Source organism: Homo sapiens, chromosome 15 (genome assembly GCF_000001405.40).
Source record: "Homo sapiens chromosome 15, GRCh38.p14 Primary Assembly".
In the NCBI taxonomy this organism is placed as follows: domain Eukaryota; kingdom Metazoa; phylum Chordata; class Mammalia; order Primates; family Hominidae; genus Homo; species Homo sapiens.
Window position 1 is genome coordinate 71,746,725 of NC_000015.10, and position 19,973 is coordinate 71,766,697.

Consider the following 19,973-nt stretch of genomic DNA (forward strand, 5'->3'; position numbering starts at 1 on the left):
GAAACTCTACCCATAGTGATTCTGATGATTCTGTGTACGCTGCTGCGGGCTCACGCTGACTTCCTGTTGACTGAAGGTTGTCTCTCACTCTCGCTCTCTCATTCCTGAACCAGCTGGGACATCGGGGAGTGGTCTGAGTGCAGCAAGACCTGTGGCCTGGGCATGCAGCACCGCCAGGTTCTGTGCCGCCAGGTGTACGCCAACCGCAGCCTGACGGTGCAGCCCTACCGCTGCCAGCACCTGGAGAAACCTGAGACCACCAGCACCTGCCAACTCAAGATCTGCAGCGAGTGGCAGATCCGGACCGACTGGACCTCGGTACGCAGGCAGGGCAGCCCGCTCTGCAGCTCCCTCTCCAGCTCCCACCACACTTTCCAGCCTCCCCCACCAAGACCTGAGATGGGTAACCCTGAGTTCCACAGGAGGGAACCCGTCCCGTGGGGGTCTGGACGGCTGTTTTTGCAAACCACAGGATGTACCAATAGTTCAATAGAGTTCAGGGTAGTGTGTGCCACCCACAGCCAACTTTATGAGTGAGCCCAGGGGGAGCCCTCTGATACTGGCCTCATCTGCTTTGTGAGTCATGGTGAAGTGAAGGTTGGCAACTGCTGGTAGAGCCAACTCCTTCCAATTTTCCCTACCCATTTTATAGCTGAAAAGACTGAGGCCTGGAAGAATAGAGTAGTGTCAGTCAAAATTAAGGCTGTTAAGGCAGAAATAATTTGATAAAAGATTTATTGGAAGCCAATGTAAGGATCAGCCCAAGAAGACACACGAACAACGTTGGACATGTTCCAAAGTCTGTTACAAGTTGAAAGGCTTTTAGAAGAAAGTTTAGGAGAGGAGACGGGGACCCCTTGAATCGGAGTTGTCTTTTTCATTGGAGGGTACAGCACAGAGGTTGCAATCACTGGCTACAGATGACGACATACAGGCTAAAATGTTTTAAGTGCAAGACAGTCAATAAAACTTCATGAGTCAGAAATAAATCAGCAAAACTTTATGACTCAGAAACAAACCAAACAAACCAGTGTCCTCTTCAATGTCCACAGGTTACGTATTAATCAGTATGTCAACAGTTTGAAGAATTCACAATAAGATTTGAGGAACTGACAATAATATTCTTTACTCTAAACAGGATGTAAGCCATGAATCCTAAGACCTTCTTCCCAGGCAACTTAGAACATAGTTTATTCTTCAAGGGCAGAGGTGCATGACTTAACCCCTTGCCTGCCATGGCGTTGGGTCCTGTTTATAATTTGGTATCTTATTGCCACAGAGAGTCCATTCTGTCAGTCTTATGATTTCTCCCTTAACATCAGTGCTGGTCGGTTGTGTCTAGACTGCAAAACGGAGGTGGTATGACAGGGTGTGTCCAACCTTCCATCCTGTCATGGCCAGGAAATCCATTTTTAAGGTTTCTCTGGGGGTCTCCTTGGCCAAGAGGAGGCCCATTCAGTCAGCTGGGAGGCTTAGGATTTTATTTTTAGTTTACAGTAGGCGAGGCATCTAAGAAGGTCTTGTAGAAAAGGGTTGTGGAGTTTTCTAGGGCTCAGATCCCTGCCCCAGCTGGTGACATGCATGACAGAGCCTCAGTCTCATGGGGCTGATCACAAAGGCTGCGGGCTCCATACTGGCAATTCTCTCCCAGAGCTGAAGCTGCTGGTTCCCCTGACGTCAGTGTGCTGTGTTTCAGTGCTCGGTGCCCTGCGGCGTGGGACAGAGGACCCGTGATGTGAAGTGTGTGAGCAACATTGGGGATGTGGTTGACGATGAGGAATGCAACATGAAGCTCCGGCCGAATGACATTGAGAACTGCGACATGGGACCCTGTGCCAAGAGCTGGTTCCTCACCGAGTGGAGCGAAAGGGTGAGTGTGATGGCGGGCAGAGCGCCGGGGACCGAGGTCTGCCAGGTGCCTCCAAAACCACACAAAGATGAGTCACTAGCTCAGAATCCCAAGACTGATTTCTGGCTCTGGGGGGAAAAAAAAGGCCCAGAGAGGAATTATCGTAGGCTTTCTATCCTTATGTGAGGACTGAGGGTCTCCAAAGGTGAGGAGGGTGTATGCAAAACTTGATTGAATTCTCCTTAGCACTCCATGTGGTCACTCCATAATACTAGGTGAAGTGAATCATTACATCCCATCGTTCATATGTCTTGTAAGTGCCTGGTGTCTCATAGACACTCAGCAATGGCAGGCCCCTCTACTGCTTTTTGCCAACTCAAAACATCCCACACCCCGTTCCCTCCCCAGTAGCCTGGCCTCCCATGGGAAGTCTCAGGTGTCAAAGAATAACTCAAAGGCATATATAGTCAACCATTAGCCCACCAGTTACCTGGATATAAGGGAAAACAGTCATATATTAAATTCATCCATCAAAGGCAAAAGGAGGATTTATATGAAAAGGGGTTTCTGCAGATGGAGTGATGTTGGTTACACAACAGCATGAATGCACCTAATGCCCTGGAGGTGTGGGCTTAAAAGTGGTTACGATGGTCAATTTCATGCTATGTGTATTCTACCACAATCAAAAATGAAGTTTGAGAAAAGACACTAAACAAATTGTAGAACATACCTTGGGACAGGGAGAAGAAAAGAGGAAGGAGATAAGGAATTGTGCTTCCTTTCCTGGTGGGATCGGCGCATTGGCGGGCATGGGATGGCCAGTCAGAGGGTTTGCCCAGGGCAGCTGCACAGCTGTGAGAGGCACCAAGTCCAGATTCTGGATTCTCTAGGAGATCTAGGGAGTTTACCTGGGATGAGGACATGATTGGCTATCTCTGACCTTGGTTAGCGGCCTACCTCTCGGATACACTAGTTCTGCCCCACTTCCCTTGCTAGAATCCCGTGCGTACACGTTACCTGTGAACCGCATTAAAGTGTAGGTCTGAGGCAGCAGGTGTGGGGAGGAGCCAGGGATTCTACATTTATTTTCTTTCTTTTTTTTAATATTTTTATATTTTTAAATTTTTATTTATTTATTTATTTATTTATTTATTTATTTATTTTGAGACCGGGTCTCATTCTATTGCCCGGGCTGGAGTGCAGTGGTGCAATCTCAGCTCACTGCAGCCTCGACCTGCTGGGATCAAGCAATCCTCCTGCCTCAGCACCCCCTGCCCCCCTCCCGCCAACGTAGGTGGGACTATAGGTGCGCGCCACCACCCCGGCTAATTTTTTGTATTTGTTTGTGGTTTCACCATGTTGCCCAAGCTGGTCTCAAACTCCTGGGCTCAAGTGATCTGCCACCTCGGCCTCCCGAAGCCCTGGAATTGTAGGCATGAGCCACTGTGCCTGGCCACAGCCTACATTTCTAATAGGTTCCCAGGGTCTCTGAGGCCACTGGTCCAAGGACCACACTCTGAATAACAAGGCCATAAAAAAGACAGAGGAGCCCAGCCATGTTCTTGGATCTTAGGAGACACGATGCAGCCCATGAGCCCCCACCCCGTCCCCACTCCCAGCATCATGAGAACAACAACCATAGTATCTCAGACTCAAAGAAGGACCCTTTCACGCAGTTTGGGGATATCAGCAGACATGCCCCATACGGCCACATTGGCTGACTCCAACTGGTCAGTGTCCATTCTGACCGGTCAATGGCCACCATGCACCTGTTATTGAGTATTTTGAATATCACCCCTAGAGGTGTTCACATAGGTTTTCTCTCCCTCTGCGGTGTAAGATGCCCCTTCATTTTGTCCCTCTATCACCATAACAATCCACTTCCACAGGGAGTGTTATCCAGAAAGAGAGGAAGGACAAACCTGCAAATGCAGCCTTCACTCCACCTCCAGAGATGGTCCTGGAGATTCTTACCTAGCGGCTCATCTTCTTGTGTGTTCCCCACACCTCATGGCATATGGCCCCTGCCCCTTAGGCCCACGATGGCCCCAGATGGACAGCCCTTGGTGCAAATACTGAGCTTCCAAGATGAGCATCTGACTGTGCCCCCAGTCCCAGGAGCAGACACTAATTTGGCCATCTGGGAGGCTCTAACCAAAGAGAAACAGATGGAGAGTAAGTGCTGATCTGGCCACTGACTCAAGCTTCTGCCCTAAAGCTGAGTCCAGGAGAGCTCATCCTAGTTCTTCGGTGTATCCCTATTTTCCAAGCCTCCCATCCCAAACATTAGCGCATGGTACTGCGGAAACAGTGGGGGAAGGTGTTTGTGAGCTCAGCCTCCTTGCCAGCATGAGGAATCCTCTGCAGTGCCCCTGACATAGGTCACAGCTCTTGCCCAAACCCTTTATCAGAAATTCACCCTGTGTCCAGACAATTACATCTATTTCTTGTACAGCTCAAGGTGTCAAGAGGTCTCCTTTTACAGTTAACCAAAGTGTTTCTTACTAAGTCCCACTGTCCTTTAGAAAAGGACAGCCCTACAGCCATTGGGGAACCCCTTCCACTTTCTCCAGGCTAAAAATATCTAGTTTCCTCAACTAATCCTTTTGTGCTTCAGTTTCTGAACTCATTCGTGTTCTCAGTAAACTTGATGGATTTCCTGTATCAGCAAATGGATGAAAAGAATGATGCTGGACTTTCATTTTTATATTGGAATGATTCTTTTTCTTAAAAATGTTGGCTTTTTTCTGGTTAAAAAGTAACACAGTATTGTTTTAAGAATATGAGAAATTTGGAAAAGTATGCTCCAAACCTCTTCACCAAAAGAAAATTTGAGATTAAGCTATACTTCAAGTTTTTTCTTCTCATACATACTTTACCTACATAGCTTTTTTTCCTCATACGTATTTTAAAGATATAAATGTATCTTTATATCATAATGTATGTATAATTTGGTCACCTCTTTTCACTTAATTATTATAAGCATAAAATCTTTAAAACATGATTTTTATTATAATAAGCTATAGAACTATATAACTGAAACAATCTCCTATTTCTAAATGTTTGGGATTTTCTAGTTTTTATTTTTATTTTTATTTTTATTTTTATTTTTGAGACCAGGTCTTGCTCTGTTGCCCAGGCTGGACTGCAGTGGCACAATCATGGCTCACTGAAGCCTTGACCTCCTGGGCTCTAGTGATCCTCCCTCCTCAGCCTCCTGAGTAGCTGGGATTACAGTTATAAGCCTCCATACACGGGTGATGTTTTACTGTTTAAAACAGAATATTTTAAAAGACTTCAGTAAGTGTTCTTGTGCATAAATCTTTATATGCACCTCTTCTTATCTCTGTAAAATAGTGGGGGCGTGGAATCATGTTAAATTATGGGAAAATATTATGAATGCTTTTTGAACTCTTAATACATTTTAGCTAATTGTTCTCCAGAAAGATTATTTCGGTGTAGTCTTCCAAGCAGCAACTGAGAGCGCTTTTACAGTCATTTTGTTGCCATGATTCTTTAGTTTGTAAATTCCATGTCTCTACATTTGCCACTCTCTGAAAAGGCAGGGGGCACAGAGCACAATACGTACAGAGAAAAAACAACTCTGTGGGGAAAATAGCTGCAGTGGTTCATTCCTCTGTGTGTCTCCCACATTTATTTAGAACAGTAAAAAGCTACATGTAAATTTTCCAAAGATTTCCACTCTACCTATTTCCTCTCCAATAATGACTTGCAGATTTCCCCTTAAAGTAATTTTGCTTTGCATTTCAACATAAGTTCTTGCCGAATCTAGCTTGGCTTAAAATTATAAATAGAGCAAAGAATGAGCACTTTATTCTATTCAGGGAACTCTTTCGTTCGTTTTGGAAAAGATGTTCTAAATCATGCAAGTTGGGTGCTATGGTGTAAGTAAATAATTTTTGCCTTATCTACCCTCAGAATAGATCATGAATTCTAAATGTTCATGCTTATTTTAGAGTAGATGAGTGGGAAGGGAGTACTATTGGGTTTAAGAAACGCACATTGGCTTTGGTATCATCTCCATGACCATCACTTATTTCGTATTTGACCCTGAGCCAGCTACTGATTCACCGAGCTTCAGTTTTTTCAACTGTAACATTGCTGAGTAACCGCTGCAGTAATATATTTGAAGCTATGACCTAGATGAGGTTGGCACAGTGGGAAGGATTTCCTGTGGGCTGCTTCATTCTTCTTCAGCTGCGTGTTACCAGGGGCCTTTGGGCCACCAGTTGGTCTTAGAAAAGGTTCAGCCCCTGGAATGACCAGCGGATGGCAGTCTTCCACTTTTGAATAGTTGCTTTGTGTAGAAAATGGCCTCGTTAAGCTTTAGTCTGAACTATGAAATTTTTTATTACTGGGAATAAACACGTGTTGAGCACCTGTTACATGCCAGTCATGAACGAGACACAGCTTCCGACTCAATAAGCTCAAGAGGGAGAGACCAAAGAAAATTAAAGTTCGCAAACACTTAAGAGTACAGAGTGTGTCTTATTGCCCAATTTAAAATTAATTAATCTTTACCTAAGTGAATTGAGGTTGTAACCCCAGTCTGAATCTTCTGTTAAACTTCTAGGGACACAAAGTTTCTTCTGGCTTAATGACTCACCTTAAAAACATCTTTTCAGCTGCTTGTACTTGAGAGTGGGCCTTATCAGAAGTAAGCATCGTTGACTTTTCAGTTCTACAAATCAATGATAGGTTTAAGCCCATGTGCAATTTTTAATCACAACAGGAAAAAAACACTTTTAGAAAGTCCACCAGCCTTAGTTTGGTAACACCTAATTTCTAAGAAAGTTTTCCAGGAAAAAAATACTGAATCATTTAAATTATAAGAAATGATGCATAAAGCTGAAGTTCAAGAATAGTCATTACAGCCTTATAGTCCCTTAGGGGCCAGTTGGGCCAAGTTTAGGATTTAACTGTTGCTGGAATGAGAAGGCAGTCCCCACCAGAGGGTTGCTTAGGAATTCCATGTGTTTCTGTGTTTTATCAGCCCAGAAGTTCAATTACGAGTCATGTCCTCTTCTGACTAGCAAAGCAGATTTGGTCCTTTTAGGAACATCCTTTAAGGACAGTGGGTGGGTGTGGTTTGGAGCCTCACCTGGAAGGTTAGTCCCCACTCCCTGGTAGGGACTTCTCCTTCCCCTTGCTTCTGCTGACAGGCTTCCTGGACCAGGTCGTGAGTGGGGAGCTCCTTTCATGTTTACACTTGTTGGGCTTTTCACTGAAGGTGTTGTAATAAAATGAAACTCCTCTACAGGCCTCATCCATGTGATGTCCTCCCATTGGGCACTGGCATGGTCCTTCATATTCTTCTTTTAAATTAGGTATATGGGGATGTGAAGACACTTTCCCAAATGTATGTGCATTACTTGGTTTTGAAAGCAGAAAATTAAGTTAGCTAGTCAGATGGAAATTACTTGGAAACAAGTAGCCTAAGGGTTGGAAACATGAAGATAACTGAAATTCTGTTTACCTTTTATTCTTTTTTTTTTTTTTTTTTTTGAGATGGAGTCTCACTCTGTCACCCAGGCTAGAGTACAGTGGCATGATTTCGGCTTACTGCATCACTGCAACCTCCACCTCCCGGGTTCAAGCGATTCTTCTGTTTCAGCCTCCCAAGTAGCTGGAATTACAGGTGCACACCATCATGCCCAGTTAATTTTTGTATTTTTAGTAGAGATGGGGTTTCACTATGTTGGCCAGGCTGGTCTCAAACTCCTGACCTCAGGTGATCCACCTGCCTCAGCCTCCGAAAGTGCTGGGATTACAGGTGTGAGCCACCACACCTGGCCTACATTGTATTCTTTACAAGAGTATTTAAATGTCTTGAGTTTTAAAGTTAGGAAGAAAACCAGATCATACATGGCTGAAACAAACAAACAAACAAACAAACAAACAAATCCTTTAGCCTAGAATATTCCAATTATTGTAACAAATTTTAAGCTAAAGGACTGAGTCATTGTCCCAGATTTCTAATAGCAATCTAGCAAAATAGCAAAGGACATGAAATATGCAAATAGCAAAATAGCAAAGGACATGAAAAATGTCTGCAAACCTGTAGGGGAGGAAAAATGTTTCCTCTGCATTCTTAGGTTCTCTGGCTGCAGTCTGTGAATTAAGCTGACAAAAGATTAACAGATAAAAAGCATACCAATTTTGTTTGATGTTAATATTTTTGTAGTGGCATGGGGGGCTTCATAGGAAAGAAGTGACAACCCCAGAGAAGCAGTTAGACTTGAGGGATTATATACCATTTTAACAAAGGGTGATAAACTATGGAGAAGTGATTAGACAAAGGAAAGGGGCTGGGGCTTCTAGGGACAGTAAATTGTGAGAAATTGACTAAGAAAAATATGGGGGAAATTGACAGAAGATAAGGGTCCTTTTATTAAAGTTTATTTGTGCAGACTTGTCTTGGAGTCAACTCCCCATCTCCAGTGATAAGAATCTTCTCTTCTTCCTAGCACTGGGAGGGCACCCTTCTCATGGGAAATTTATGCCCTGGTTTTAGGCAGAAATGGGGAAGGCAGAGAGCTCTTCCTGCATCTGCTATTTCTCAATAGCCTTCAGCTCAAAATAATCAACATGCCAAAGCAACATATTTTGGGGTGGCATGTTCTGATCCCCTTCAAGCCCTTTGCTCCAGAGGGAGTTTCTTCCCTAAGGGGTCAAGCCCAGCTTAGCAGTGGAAAGGTAAATGTTTGATCGCTCATGCTGGCATGTGATTTTACAAGACTAGATGTCAGCATACAAAAATGAAAGTGGAAATTTTGATAAGGAAATGAGGTTGTAAGGATTGTTTTTCCCTTTTCTCAATTTTTATTTAAATTCTATTGCTTTATTTTCTAAAATAATACGGGTAGAACTCAAACATTGACTCTATTTTTAAGAAAAGACCCAGAAACCCTTAGAAAGGGCTTTGGTCATGTGCTAAAGGGCCACGTCTAGGATTAGAAAGTGCTAATAGATAAGAGAAATGAACAAGGCAGGGCCCAAGTCTATATGCAACTGATATTCATGGATTTACTCATGAATAAGACACTGACCTGAGAAAGAATTAGAGATGATTCGTTAGTTCCTGCTCTCACCAAGCCTGCTTCAGCAAAGACAAAAAAAAAAAAAAAAAAAAAAAAAAAGACAGGACACAAATAACCATAATACAAAGGCAGGAAGCAGCACATAGAGTGCCATGAGAATTCCAAGGCTTGAAAGAACATCTTAAATTGGACACTCAAGATAGTCTTCACAGAGGACAGAGGAGAAGGTATTTGAGGTGAGCCTTAAAGGCTTCTGATCTGTCCAGTGAAGGGAAAGAGCATTCTGGGTGGAGGGAATGACAGGGGCAAGGGCTCTGTGAGCCTTTTATGTGATCAGGGAATAATAGCCACTCTGAGTCTGTCCAGAAGGAGGTATGGGGGATAGGATAATAGGAAATTAGTCTAGAAGAATTGGGTCAATTGGGGCCATATTATAGAAAACCCTTAATGCTAGAAGTCCATATGTGACTTCTGTTAGGAATGGGATAACTTCAGAGGGAATTTTTAGCATGGAGTTCTCAACACCTGGCAGCCCAATGCATTGGAAAAGCTGGTGAGGTTGAGCAAGAAGCTACAGCCACAGTCCAGGGTAAGAAAGTAAACTGTGCTGGGAACCATGGATGGAAAGGGGCAAGACAGGTTAGAGAAATGTGGCAGAACTAGAGTCTGTGAGACCTAATGATTGTCTAGATGTTGGAAGCAAGAGGGTAGGAGAATAGTCAACTTTTAAATCCAGGTAGAAACTTGAAAGCAAATCAGAAAAATAAAAGGAGGAATGGTAACGGTGGTGAAGGTGTACATGCTGGATTCAAGGTATCTGTAGGACACCCAGATAAGGACGCCCCAAAAATGTTTGAAAAGATAAAGTTTAGGTGTGGTGGCACACACCTGTAATCCCAGCACTTTGGGAGGCCGAGGCAGGCGGATCTCTTGCGCTCAGGAGTTTGAGACCAGCCTGGGCAACATGGCAAAATCCCGTCTCTACAAAAAAATACAAAAATTAGCTGGACATGGTCGTGAGCACCTGGAGCTACTCAGGAGGCTGAGGTGGGAGGATCACTTGACCCCAAGAGGTTGAAGCTGCAGTGAGCTGAGATCACGCCACCTGGGTGATGCAATCCTATCTGGGTGACAAAGCGAGAACCTGTCTCGAAAAAAAGAAAAGACACGATAAGATGAGAACCAAAATAAGGGCACATTCCAACGTATGGCAAGACAGATGGAAAATGCTCTATGAGCTTTGGGCTGTGACTCAGGAATGTTTTCACTGTATCCTAGGAGAGGACAGTGTGATTGTAGTAGAAAAATCACTAATAGATATTTGGCTTTAAGTGAAGATTTTATCCCTATGAGGCTTAGTTTCTCTATCTTGGAGTGGGAATGTAGGGGTTGAAGCCCCTTATACCATTTACTGGGCACCTCCCATCTGCAAAGCACATTATACAGTCTCCATAGCCCTGTCAGAAATGTGTTTCTATGCCAGTTGTCTAGATGAGCATGCCAAAGGTAGGAGGGGCTGGGTCACTTGCTCCAGGCCGCACAGCTAGTGAGGATATCAACACTGATGTACCTGGTTCCAAAGCCAAGCTCTCCCTCTATACCAAGCTGTCTCCCAATCCCCTCATAGCTGTGACCTTCAGAGACTGGAACAATTTGCCTTAATATCAGGCAGCAACATTGAGGTGACAGACTTAAGTCCCCCTATTTTTCCAACCCAGACTTGGCTACTAGCAGGTAGAAATATGCCCAGGTTTTCATGCACCCATTCTTCTTCAGCTGAATATATATATATTTTTTTATTTTTATTTTTAGAGACAGGGTCTTCTCACTCTGTTGCCCAGGCTGGAGTGCAGTCGTGCAGTCATAGCTCAGTGTAGCCTCAACCTCCTGGGCTCAAGCGATCCTCCCACTTCAGCCTCCCAAAGCTCTGGTACCACAGGCGTGAGCCACAATACCCGGCCAAGCTGAATATATTTTTGAAAGCAAAAGCTGGGAAGGATAGTCTAACAAGTATAAGTGTATTAATTGCAGTGGCAAGATTGGATATTTGGAATTTGGAATGAAGCCCAACCCAGAAAATCTAAGACAGAGAATTGCCATACTGATATCTCATAATGGAGTAGGCTATGCACGAGAAGCTGCCAGATATTTCTAGGGGAAACAGACGGCAGGAAAATGAAGCATTCCATCCTCCTTTCCATCATTTGAAAGTGGCTTCAGCAGCTGCCAGGGCCTCCTGACTAATGTGCCCTTCCCCTGTCTCACAGTGCTCAGCGGAGTGTGGGGCCGGAGTGCGGACACGCTCGGTGGTGTGCATGACCAACCATGTCAGCAGCCTGCCCCTGGAGGGCTGTGGGAACAACCGGCCGGCAGAGGCCACCCCATGTGACAACGGACCCTGCACGGGCAAGGTGGAGTGGTTTGCCGGGAGCTGGAGTCAGGTGAGTGGCCAGAACTGGGTATGTCTGCCTGTGTCAGGCAAAAGGCAGCATACCAGAGGGGTTAGGAACCAGGACTTTGTGTCAGGTGTCCCAGCTTTGAATCCCAGCAGTGCCACTGTCTATCTGTGACCCTGGAGAAGCTATTTATATTTCTGGAGCCTCAGTCAGTCAACAGTATTCATTGAGCACCTACGGTGTGCTCATCTAAGTACTTGGGTTACATCAGTGAGCAACACAAATATCTCTGCCCTCAGGGGGCTTATGGCCTAGCATGCTTTCCTCATCTATACAATGCTGGCAGTGATGGTACCTTATGAGGTTATTTTTAGAAGAAATGAAATTGTGTACATAAAGTATGTAGCACAGTGCCTGACACAAAATAAATGGTGGCTGCTGCTATTATTCCTGTTAATAAAGCCAGTTTTTCTGTATTTGACAGTATCAGAAGCAGAAATTTTAAAAGTTGGAATTGTTCATTATGAAGAATAAATAATACTGAATACTTTAATAATTGATGAATTACATTTTCCCTCACTCTTCCAAAATTGAACGTGAACCCCACTAAGAAAATGTGGAAATGACTGCCTTGGTTTGATTATCATCAGTATTGGAGTTCTTGAGCCACTTAGCATTTGGCTCCCAGGGCTGGCTGGTTCTCCAAGGACTGTTTGGCTTATGATCATGATTTACACATTATCAAGACCTCTGGCTCCATATAGAATTTTATTTCTTTTAAGTAGCATTAAAAACTGACCTTGGAAAAAAATGCACTGCCTTATCCTTGTAAATTGACACAAGCCCTTGGGAAAGCAATTTGGCAATAAAAGTCAGGAACCATAAAAATGTTCCTTTGCCTTAACCCAGTCACCCCACTCCTGGGGATTCATTTTAAGGAAATAATTAACAAAAGAAAAAAAACAGCCTTTTTCAACAGAGATGTTCATGACAGCAGGATGGTTACAGATATTATGGCATATCATAACTCAGTAAAATATAAGGTGACAATGACAGCGATCGTTAGGAAGATGTGAAAGTGCATGTGGTATAATGGCAAGTGAGAAATAGAATGTGAAAATATTCAAACCCTATCATCTCTGCCACTTCAATGTAGAGTTTTTATGCAAAAAGCATAGGGAAATGTTTTTCTATTCAAATTCCCTTTAATGTTTTTTAAAATATAGAGAATTCAGAAAGAATTCAAGTACTTCCAGTGCTACTCTGGTGAATATCAAAGTTAGACACATTTGCTAACTGATCCCAGCTTGACTTCTCATGAGTTTTCTGGCTCTAGGTGAGTGATTTAACCTCTCTGAGCCTGTTTCCTCATCTGAATATGAAGGTAATCATATCAACCTCTTAAGGTTGTTACGAGGTTTTCATAAGATGCTATACATAAAGAGAATTACCCATTGCTTGGGATATGGGAAACACTTAATAAATATTGGTTCCCATCTCTCTATGTTTATTTTTTCTGCCAGCTATTTCTATCTCATTACTGGTAGTAAAATACATAGGACCTAAACCCCAAAGATAATTCAGCAGCGACTGTATATAGGACACCAATTATACCAAATATCCATAGATGTGTGAAATCATATCAGATCATTACAGTCACACACGTGAAGATAAGCAGTACAATCGAACTCATATGTCTACCATTCTTAGAAGAGAAGGGAGCAGGATTCAGGGCCTTTTTTGCTTGTGGCTTCCTATTGACTTTAGACCTAAGCTTAAAGAACCAAGGGTGGTATGAACCCTGGCAAAGACAACCTTTATTTCTGCTAAGATTAGAAACAAAGGATTTGTTGCCCTGTTGTCCAAAAGGGTCAAGATACAATTGAATGTGGCCAAGGGTTTTGGTTCTGGATTTATAAGGATGTCAGGGCCTGCTGGAAATTCCCTGCCCTAGGAATTTGACATTATCCCCAAAGAAAATGAAATAAGAGCATGCTTATTTCTTGAAAGGTAAGTTTTAAACATTAACTGGCTTCAGAATATAAAAATAAATGTTCCTTCTCACCATATGGGTTGAATGAAAGTTGGTATTTCGAATACCCCACCAGCCTGGTCACAGTGATTAGTCCAGGAGTAGACATGTGATCCAACAGGTGGATGTGTGACCCAAGCTGAGCCACAGAATCCTTCCCAAGGACATTTCATTTGTGTTTTAGGGAAGAGACTCACTAAGAGGTTGTGAGCTCAAGGGCTGGCAGTGGCCCTACTGAGGCTTGTGCAAAAAGCCAGTCTGAGAGAATGAGACCTAAGTCCATGGAGAGGCAGAGACCAAGGAGTTTCTGGCTTTAGAGTCTTTCTGACTCCACCAAGAAAGGAATATATTCCATTTCTGCTGCTTCCCAGATCCCTGGAAACTAACTAGGAGTATATCAAGCTTAGGGAGTCTTTTTCTACTCTGGAGGCACAGTAGCCCAACTCTTACTCATGAGAGTCTACCAAGTCTATTATTTATGCCCAGAATTATTTCCTTTCTTCTCTATCAATTCTGAGTTTACTGCAACCTTAGATTGTCTTAGTTCCGGGGAGATCTGTCACAGTCTCTAGTCTTCAGGAGCAGCCATTTTGTCTGCCTCTGGGTCTGGATTGCATTTTATTGATTGCATTTATTGCAATAGATATATTTATTCTCATCTCTTCGCGAATCAGTGATCCACAAAAGTGCAACTGCAGGAATTCTTTAGGTACAGAAACATGCCTAATTGCCATCACTTCTCACTGAAAGCATTTATCCCTATTAAATATTACTTTTTCTCATGTGTGCTTTTCTCTGTGGATTACATTTTATCTACTATTTGAATTACTCCATCTTGTTTCTTATTGTTGATTTTCACCTGATGTATCTTCATCAATTTCTTAATTTTCAAACGTTCTATGTATTTTTAAGGTATGTCTTTCAGGACTATTTTTGTCTTTATTTTTACCCAATCTATAAACCTCTGTATTTTAAGAGTTAAATTTTAACCATTTATATTTATTGTAATCACTTATATGTTTGGACTTTTCCCTACCATCTTATTTTGTGTTTTCTATTTTCATGCTTTCTTGCTTCTTTCCTCTTTCCTTTCAACATGCTTGTTATTAGTCAGGTTTTCTTAATTCCATTTTTTCCCCTCCAACATTTTGGAAGTTATAAATCTTCTAGTGGTATTTCTTCTGTGATAAGATTCAAATTTTTAGCACAGAATTTTAAACTTTTATGTCTCCATTAGTGTCAAGTTATCAGTGACCACATCCTCTCCTAAAAGAAAATAGAAGCCTTCCCCTTTTATTTACCTCCACTCTCTCAATCTACAATATCTCCAAAAAGATGTTGATATTATCTGGATCTAGCTCCAGATTAATGTTAATTTTATAGAAAATATAGATTTAAATTTTAAAATAGTTTTCTGCTTTCCCCCCAAAGATTTTTTTATTGAAATATAATTCACGTACCATAAAATTTACCCTTTAAAAATATAGAATTCATTGGTTTTTAGTAAATTCACAAAGTTGTACAACCATATTCAGCATTATCCAATTCCAGCACATTTTTATCATTCCAAAAAGACACCTGGCATCCATTAGTAATAACGGCTTTTATTGGTGTCTTTGCCAGCTCCTTCTTTTATGTCCTGTGTCTTCTTCCTGGTTCTTTTTTATTTTGCTAAAGACTATAACCCAGGAAGTCTTTCAAATAGGATTTGTAAGTGGTAAGGTTTCTGAGCCCTTGAATACCTGAAAATGACTTCATTTTGCACTTTGACACGAATGCTTCTGGCAGATGACTCACTGCTTCCTCTTCCTTGGCACAGTCAGGCCAGCCCGGCTGCTCTTGGCCAGTAACTCAGCTGATCACTCATTGTCCTGAGGCCTCCATCCTGATCTCCATGTCCACCACCAATATAGCCTGAAGCACATGAGTTTTGCTAGAGCTCCTCCTCTGTGTGCATTTGGACTATAGTTTCCTTCTTCAATTTGATCTCATCTGTCTTTCATTGTTCAAAGATTCCCCATAATTTCTGGTCCATCAAGGCTGATTGCCCTTTCTTGTCTTCAAATGCTGTCTCATGCGCGTGTGCAAACACACACACACACACACACACACACACAGAGATAGAGATACACACACATGAACACATTCATTCACTTTCCAGACGCACATATTCTGCCATTTCTGAGCATTTACAGTAAGAGAAGGCTGAGACGGGCTCATTCTCCCTGAAGTACACAATCTCTTCAAGGACTTGCCAAAAATAGCAGAAGATAACTACAAGTTTTGATCAAAGTTTGCAGTCTTCTGTTCTGCCACACACTTAGTACAGATGTAGGATCTCATAGCATTGAGGGGTCTTTCAGATTATGTTTTCAAACCCCTCACTTTCTCTTTTCAGATAAGACCACAGCGACCTGGGAAAGTGCAACGTCTTAGCCAAAGACACAGAACTATTTAGCGACACTGTCTAGACTCTAGTTTCCATGTCTCCTGACTTCAGTCTAGTGTTCCACCCCTGCCGCCCACCCCTGCCCCATCCTCATTCCTCCTGCAGGAGAGGCCAGACCTTTGCCTGCTGCAGCTTGTGGCTCTTCTCCTGCCTTCAGTTCTTCCATTGCCTGCAGCACTTGAAAGAAAAGGACAAGACACGAATACACTCCAAATCATAAACTAACATGGAAGAAAATAGGAGAAACAGAGTGGGAAATCTTATAGTTTTTTTTTGGCTGGGCACAGTGGCTCACGCCTATAATCCCAGCACTTTGGGAGGCCAAGGCAGGCAGATCACTTGAGGTGTCAGGAGTTTGAGACCACCCTGGCCAATATGACAAAACCCCATCTCTACTAAAAATACAAAAATTAGCCAAGCATAGGGGCTCACACCTGTAGTCCCAACTACTTAGGAGGCTGAGGTAGGAGAATTGCTTGAACCTGGGAGGCAGAGGTTGCAGTGAGCCGAGATTGCACCACTGCACTCTAGCCTGGGCAACAGAGCAAGACTCCATCTCAAAAAAAAAATTTTTTTTTAGTAAAAAAATCCCGTAGTTTTTTAATGCTACGAAGATGGCAAAAAAGAAGACATAGACAAAGCAGAAACTGATGGCCTCTGCTATTTCATGCCCTGTGTGACTACTTCATCATTTGTTGGTTTGGGGGTTTTATAATTTTTTTTTTCTGTAGATGCGTGTTTTTCTTTCTCTCTATTTTTATTTGATTGTGTGGCTGCCTATGGACAGCAAAGCTAATATTTAGAGTTTGAACTGCAGACATTGTTGCAGGCTTCTTATAAAGGTAGTCGATTCTTTAAAGTCTATAATAAAGTACATAGACCACAGCTTTACAACTTTAAATCAAAAAGTATTAAGAGGCTGGGCACAGTGGCTCACGCCTGTAATCCCAGAACGATGGGAGGCCGAGGCAGGAGGATTGGTTGAGGCCAGGAGTTCAAGACCAGCCTGGGCAATATAATGAGACCCTGTCTCTAAAAACAAATTTTTTTTTTTTTAAACAGAGTCTTGCTCGTCACCCAGGCTGGAGTGCAGTGGCACGATCTTGGCTCACTGCAACCTCTACCTCCCAGGTTCCAGTGATTATCTTGCCTCAGCCTCCTGACCCCAGGCGATTTGCTCACCTTGGCCTCCCAAAGTGCTAGGATTATAGGAGTGAGCCACCGCGCCTGGCCCCCGTCTCTAAAAAAAATTGTTTTAATTAGTCGGGCAAGGCCTGGCATGGTGGCTCATGCCTGTAATCCCAGCACTTTGAGAGGCCGAGGCAGGCAGATCATTTGGGTTCAGGAGTTCAAGACCAGCCTGGGCAACATGGCAAAACCCCATCTCTACAAAAAAATACAAAAATTAGCCAGGTGTGGTGACATATGCCTGTAATTCCCAGCTACTCTGGAGGCTGAGGTGGGATGATCACTTGAGTCTGGGGAGTGGAGGTTGCAGTGAGCCAAGATCACTCCGCTGCACTCCAGCCTGGGTGACAGAGTGAGATCCTGCCTCAAAAAAAAAATAAATAAATAAAAGAACGAATGAACCAGGCAAGGCAGTGCACACCTGTGGTCCCAGCTACTCTGGAGGCTGAGGTGAGAGGACCACTTGAGCTCAGGAGGTTGAGGCCGCAGTGAGCCATGATCACACCACTACACTCCAGCCTGGGTGACAGAGTGAGACCTTGTCTCAAAAACAAGGAAAAATATTGAGTAAACCAAACATGAACAAAAAACATTTTGCAAAGTAATAGATACTAAATGGGATGATTTATCAGCAAACAGTTGTATGCATTTTATTTCCATAAACTAATGAAATGAACCAACATATGTAATTGCCTGGCTTCTTTGTGGGGTCACTACCCCATGGTGCAGATTTCAGCACCACATTAGGAAACAAGAAGATTGGGCTCTGTAGTCACAGTTCCCGCTGGCTGCCCTGTTGGAAGGGGAGGGTTGACCATAGGGTACATTTTCCCAAGTCTTAGGTCTTCTCCTCAGCTTTGGGTGTTCACAGGTGTGCAGAGTGTAGGAGTTCATTCAGTCACAGTATCCACCTCCTAAGAGAATAACAGATAAGAATGTCAGTTCATTGTCTTGCCTCCTGTGAGAGGTGCCAGAGTCTATGGGACAGAGACAACCAAATGACCTGGCTGGTGTGTTCCTGCAGGAGAGTTTATGGTAAACTGTTTCCCTCTCAGCACAGAAGACAACAAGATCTTAGTGACTAGCATCCTCCAGGTATGACAATCAGGGCACCTAGTCTGCATTTGGAGACAGAACTGTTAGGAAACTGCATTCCATATGCCATTTCTCCTCCAGAAACATTTCCAAGTTCTCCTGGGTTCTTCCTCCTAGAATTGGTGGTAGAATTGACGGTGCCCGTCATAAGCATCCCTTGATGGACAGTAGCTGCCACCCCCTTTCCATCATGTGACACTCATCTTTTTCTGCTTCTTTCTGCAGTGTTCCATCGAGTGTGGGAGCGGGACGCAACAGAGGGAGGTGATTTGTGTTAGAAAGAATGCAGACACCTTTGAAGTGTTGGACCCCTCTGAATGTTCTTTCCTGGAGAAACCCCCCAGCCAGCAATCCTGCCACCTCAAGCCTTGCGGAGCCAAATGGTTTAGCACCGAATGGAGCATGGTAAGTCATGGTGCTCTTGATGGAGGTTGCATTGGCACAACGTCCCCCACCTGAACTCCTATAGACCCCTCTGGGCCAGGCACTGGGTTCAGCCCTGAAAGAGATTCCCTACAGCAATCTACCTTAGGTGGTAGCTGCTGGAGTACCCCGTGACTCAGCCTGCTTCGTGGGGAAGGCCTGAGACCTAGATGATCTTGCTTTCTAAACTGTAGAAACAGTGACTCTCACACTTCAGTGTGCATAGGAATCATCTGAGGATCTTGTTTGACAAGACCAACTCTGGGCCAACTGTGGCCGAGGATTTGCATTTTTAGCAAGTTCCTGAGGTGTGTTGGATGGAGTTGTCTTTGTACTGCATTTTGAGCAATGCTGCCATAGAGGATTGAGGATTCAAGGGTGCTGTTAAAAGAACTACATCTGATGCCAGGCGTGGTGGTTGACACCTGTAATCCCAATACTTTGGGAGGCCAAGGTGGGAAGATCACTTGAGGCTAGGAGTTTGACACCAGCCAGGTCAACTAGCAAGAACCCATCTCTGAAAAACATTTTTTTTAATTACTACATTACACAAACACACACGCACACACTCTCTGTGTGTGTGTGTGTGTGTGTGTGTGTGTGTACACTTTTTAAAAATCCTATAGACATTCTGGATTATGGATTGTGGGACTGATTCTGTTTTCTGTTTGAACTGGCTACTAGGAAGCGCAAAGCCAAAATTATGCCTCACCTAGTATACCAGATCCTGCAAAGTGGATTTTATGTGCTAATATTCCTGTGGCTTCTCTTTCTTTTTCCTACTTTTATCTTCCTTTAGTACTAGTTTTCTCACTTTTTTAAAATCTTGTGGCCCTCTAAGTCTTTCTCAAGTCATTTCAAATCCTTTTTGTAAGGAGGGAAATAGTGTGTAAATGAAGAAAGAGAGAGATTGATAAATACAGAAATAAGTTATTAAGAAATGAAAGGGGAAAGGATGGATATAGTGATAAGATTCATTTTTTTCAAGTTGAAGAGTTCATTTTCAAGAAACTTCCTAAAACAGAAAACCTCCTCACCATCATTCCAGGTGACCAGAAAACCTCCTGAGGGCCCCATCCCAGGTGACCATTGGCGTAGTTCTGTGGGTTGGGGTGGGAAGTGGAGGAAGGGTCATTCTGCTTCTCATCACTGAAGATCTTCAAGCAGAGGCTGTAGTGAGCCCAGAGTAGGGGGGCCAGAGCCTTTCTCACAGTGATCCAAGGGTGATAAAAGGGAATTTTGCTTAGAAAATATATGAATAAAAGCTGAGAATTCCATTTCCAAAAAGTGTCTGTCTGCTCTAGTGATAACAGCCATTTGGCTGTGTAGCAAACCACATCTCAGAGGTAGATGGGAATGAAGGAGGTGGGTTGAAAGGTTTCTGGCAACTTCTGGGAAGTGGAATTTAATTATTTTGATGTTGACCAAGGCTTGAGGATACAATAACAGATCGCAGTTTTCTTTTGTCATCTGATTTGGA

The 19,973-nt window shown here is 43.2% G+C and overlaps 1 protein-coding gene across 10 annotated transcripts in view, besides 1 other annotated feature; it reads left to right on the plus strand.

Moving 5' to 3' along the window:
- The window catches only part of THSD4 (thrombospondin type 1 domain containing 4), a 686,490-nt gene that overhangs the window by 649,831 nt on the left and 16,686 nt on the right, over positions 1-19,973 (plus strand). For all 10 annotated transcript variants that reach the window (NM_001394532.1, NM_024817.3, XM_047433080.1 and 7 more), the window contains 4 exons: positions 114-318; positions 1,697-1,870; positions 11,178-11,351; positions 18,296-18,475. In NM_001394532.1, the coding sequence (NP_001381461.1) occupies positions 114-318; positions 1,697-1,870; positions 11,178-11,351; positions 18,296-18,475 (733 nt within the window). The remainder of the gene's footprint in view (positions 1-113; positions 319-1,696; positions 1,871-11,177; positions 11,352-18,295; positions 18,476-19,973) is intronic.
- Positions 14,504-15,703: an enhancer, noted in NCBI's record as "P300/CBP strongly-dependent group 1 enhancer chr15:72053567-72054766 (GRCh37/hg19 assembly coordinates)". NCBI's record gives its function as "activates an origin of replication core promoter dependent on BRD2, BRD4, P300/CBP, MED14 and CDK7 cofactors, with strong dependence on P300/CBP, by STARR-seq in HCT116 cells {active_cell/tissue: HCT116}" and the evidence as "EXISTENCE:reporter gene assay evidence [ECO:0000049][PMID:35650434]".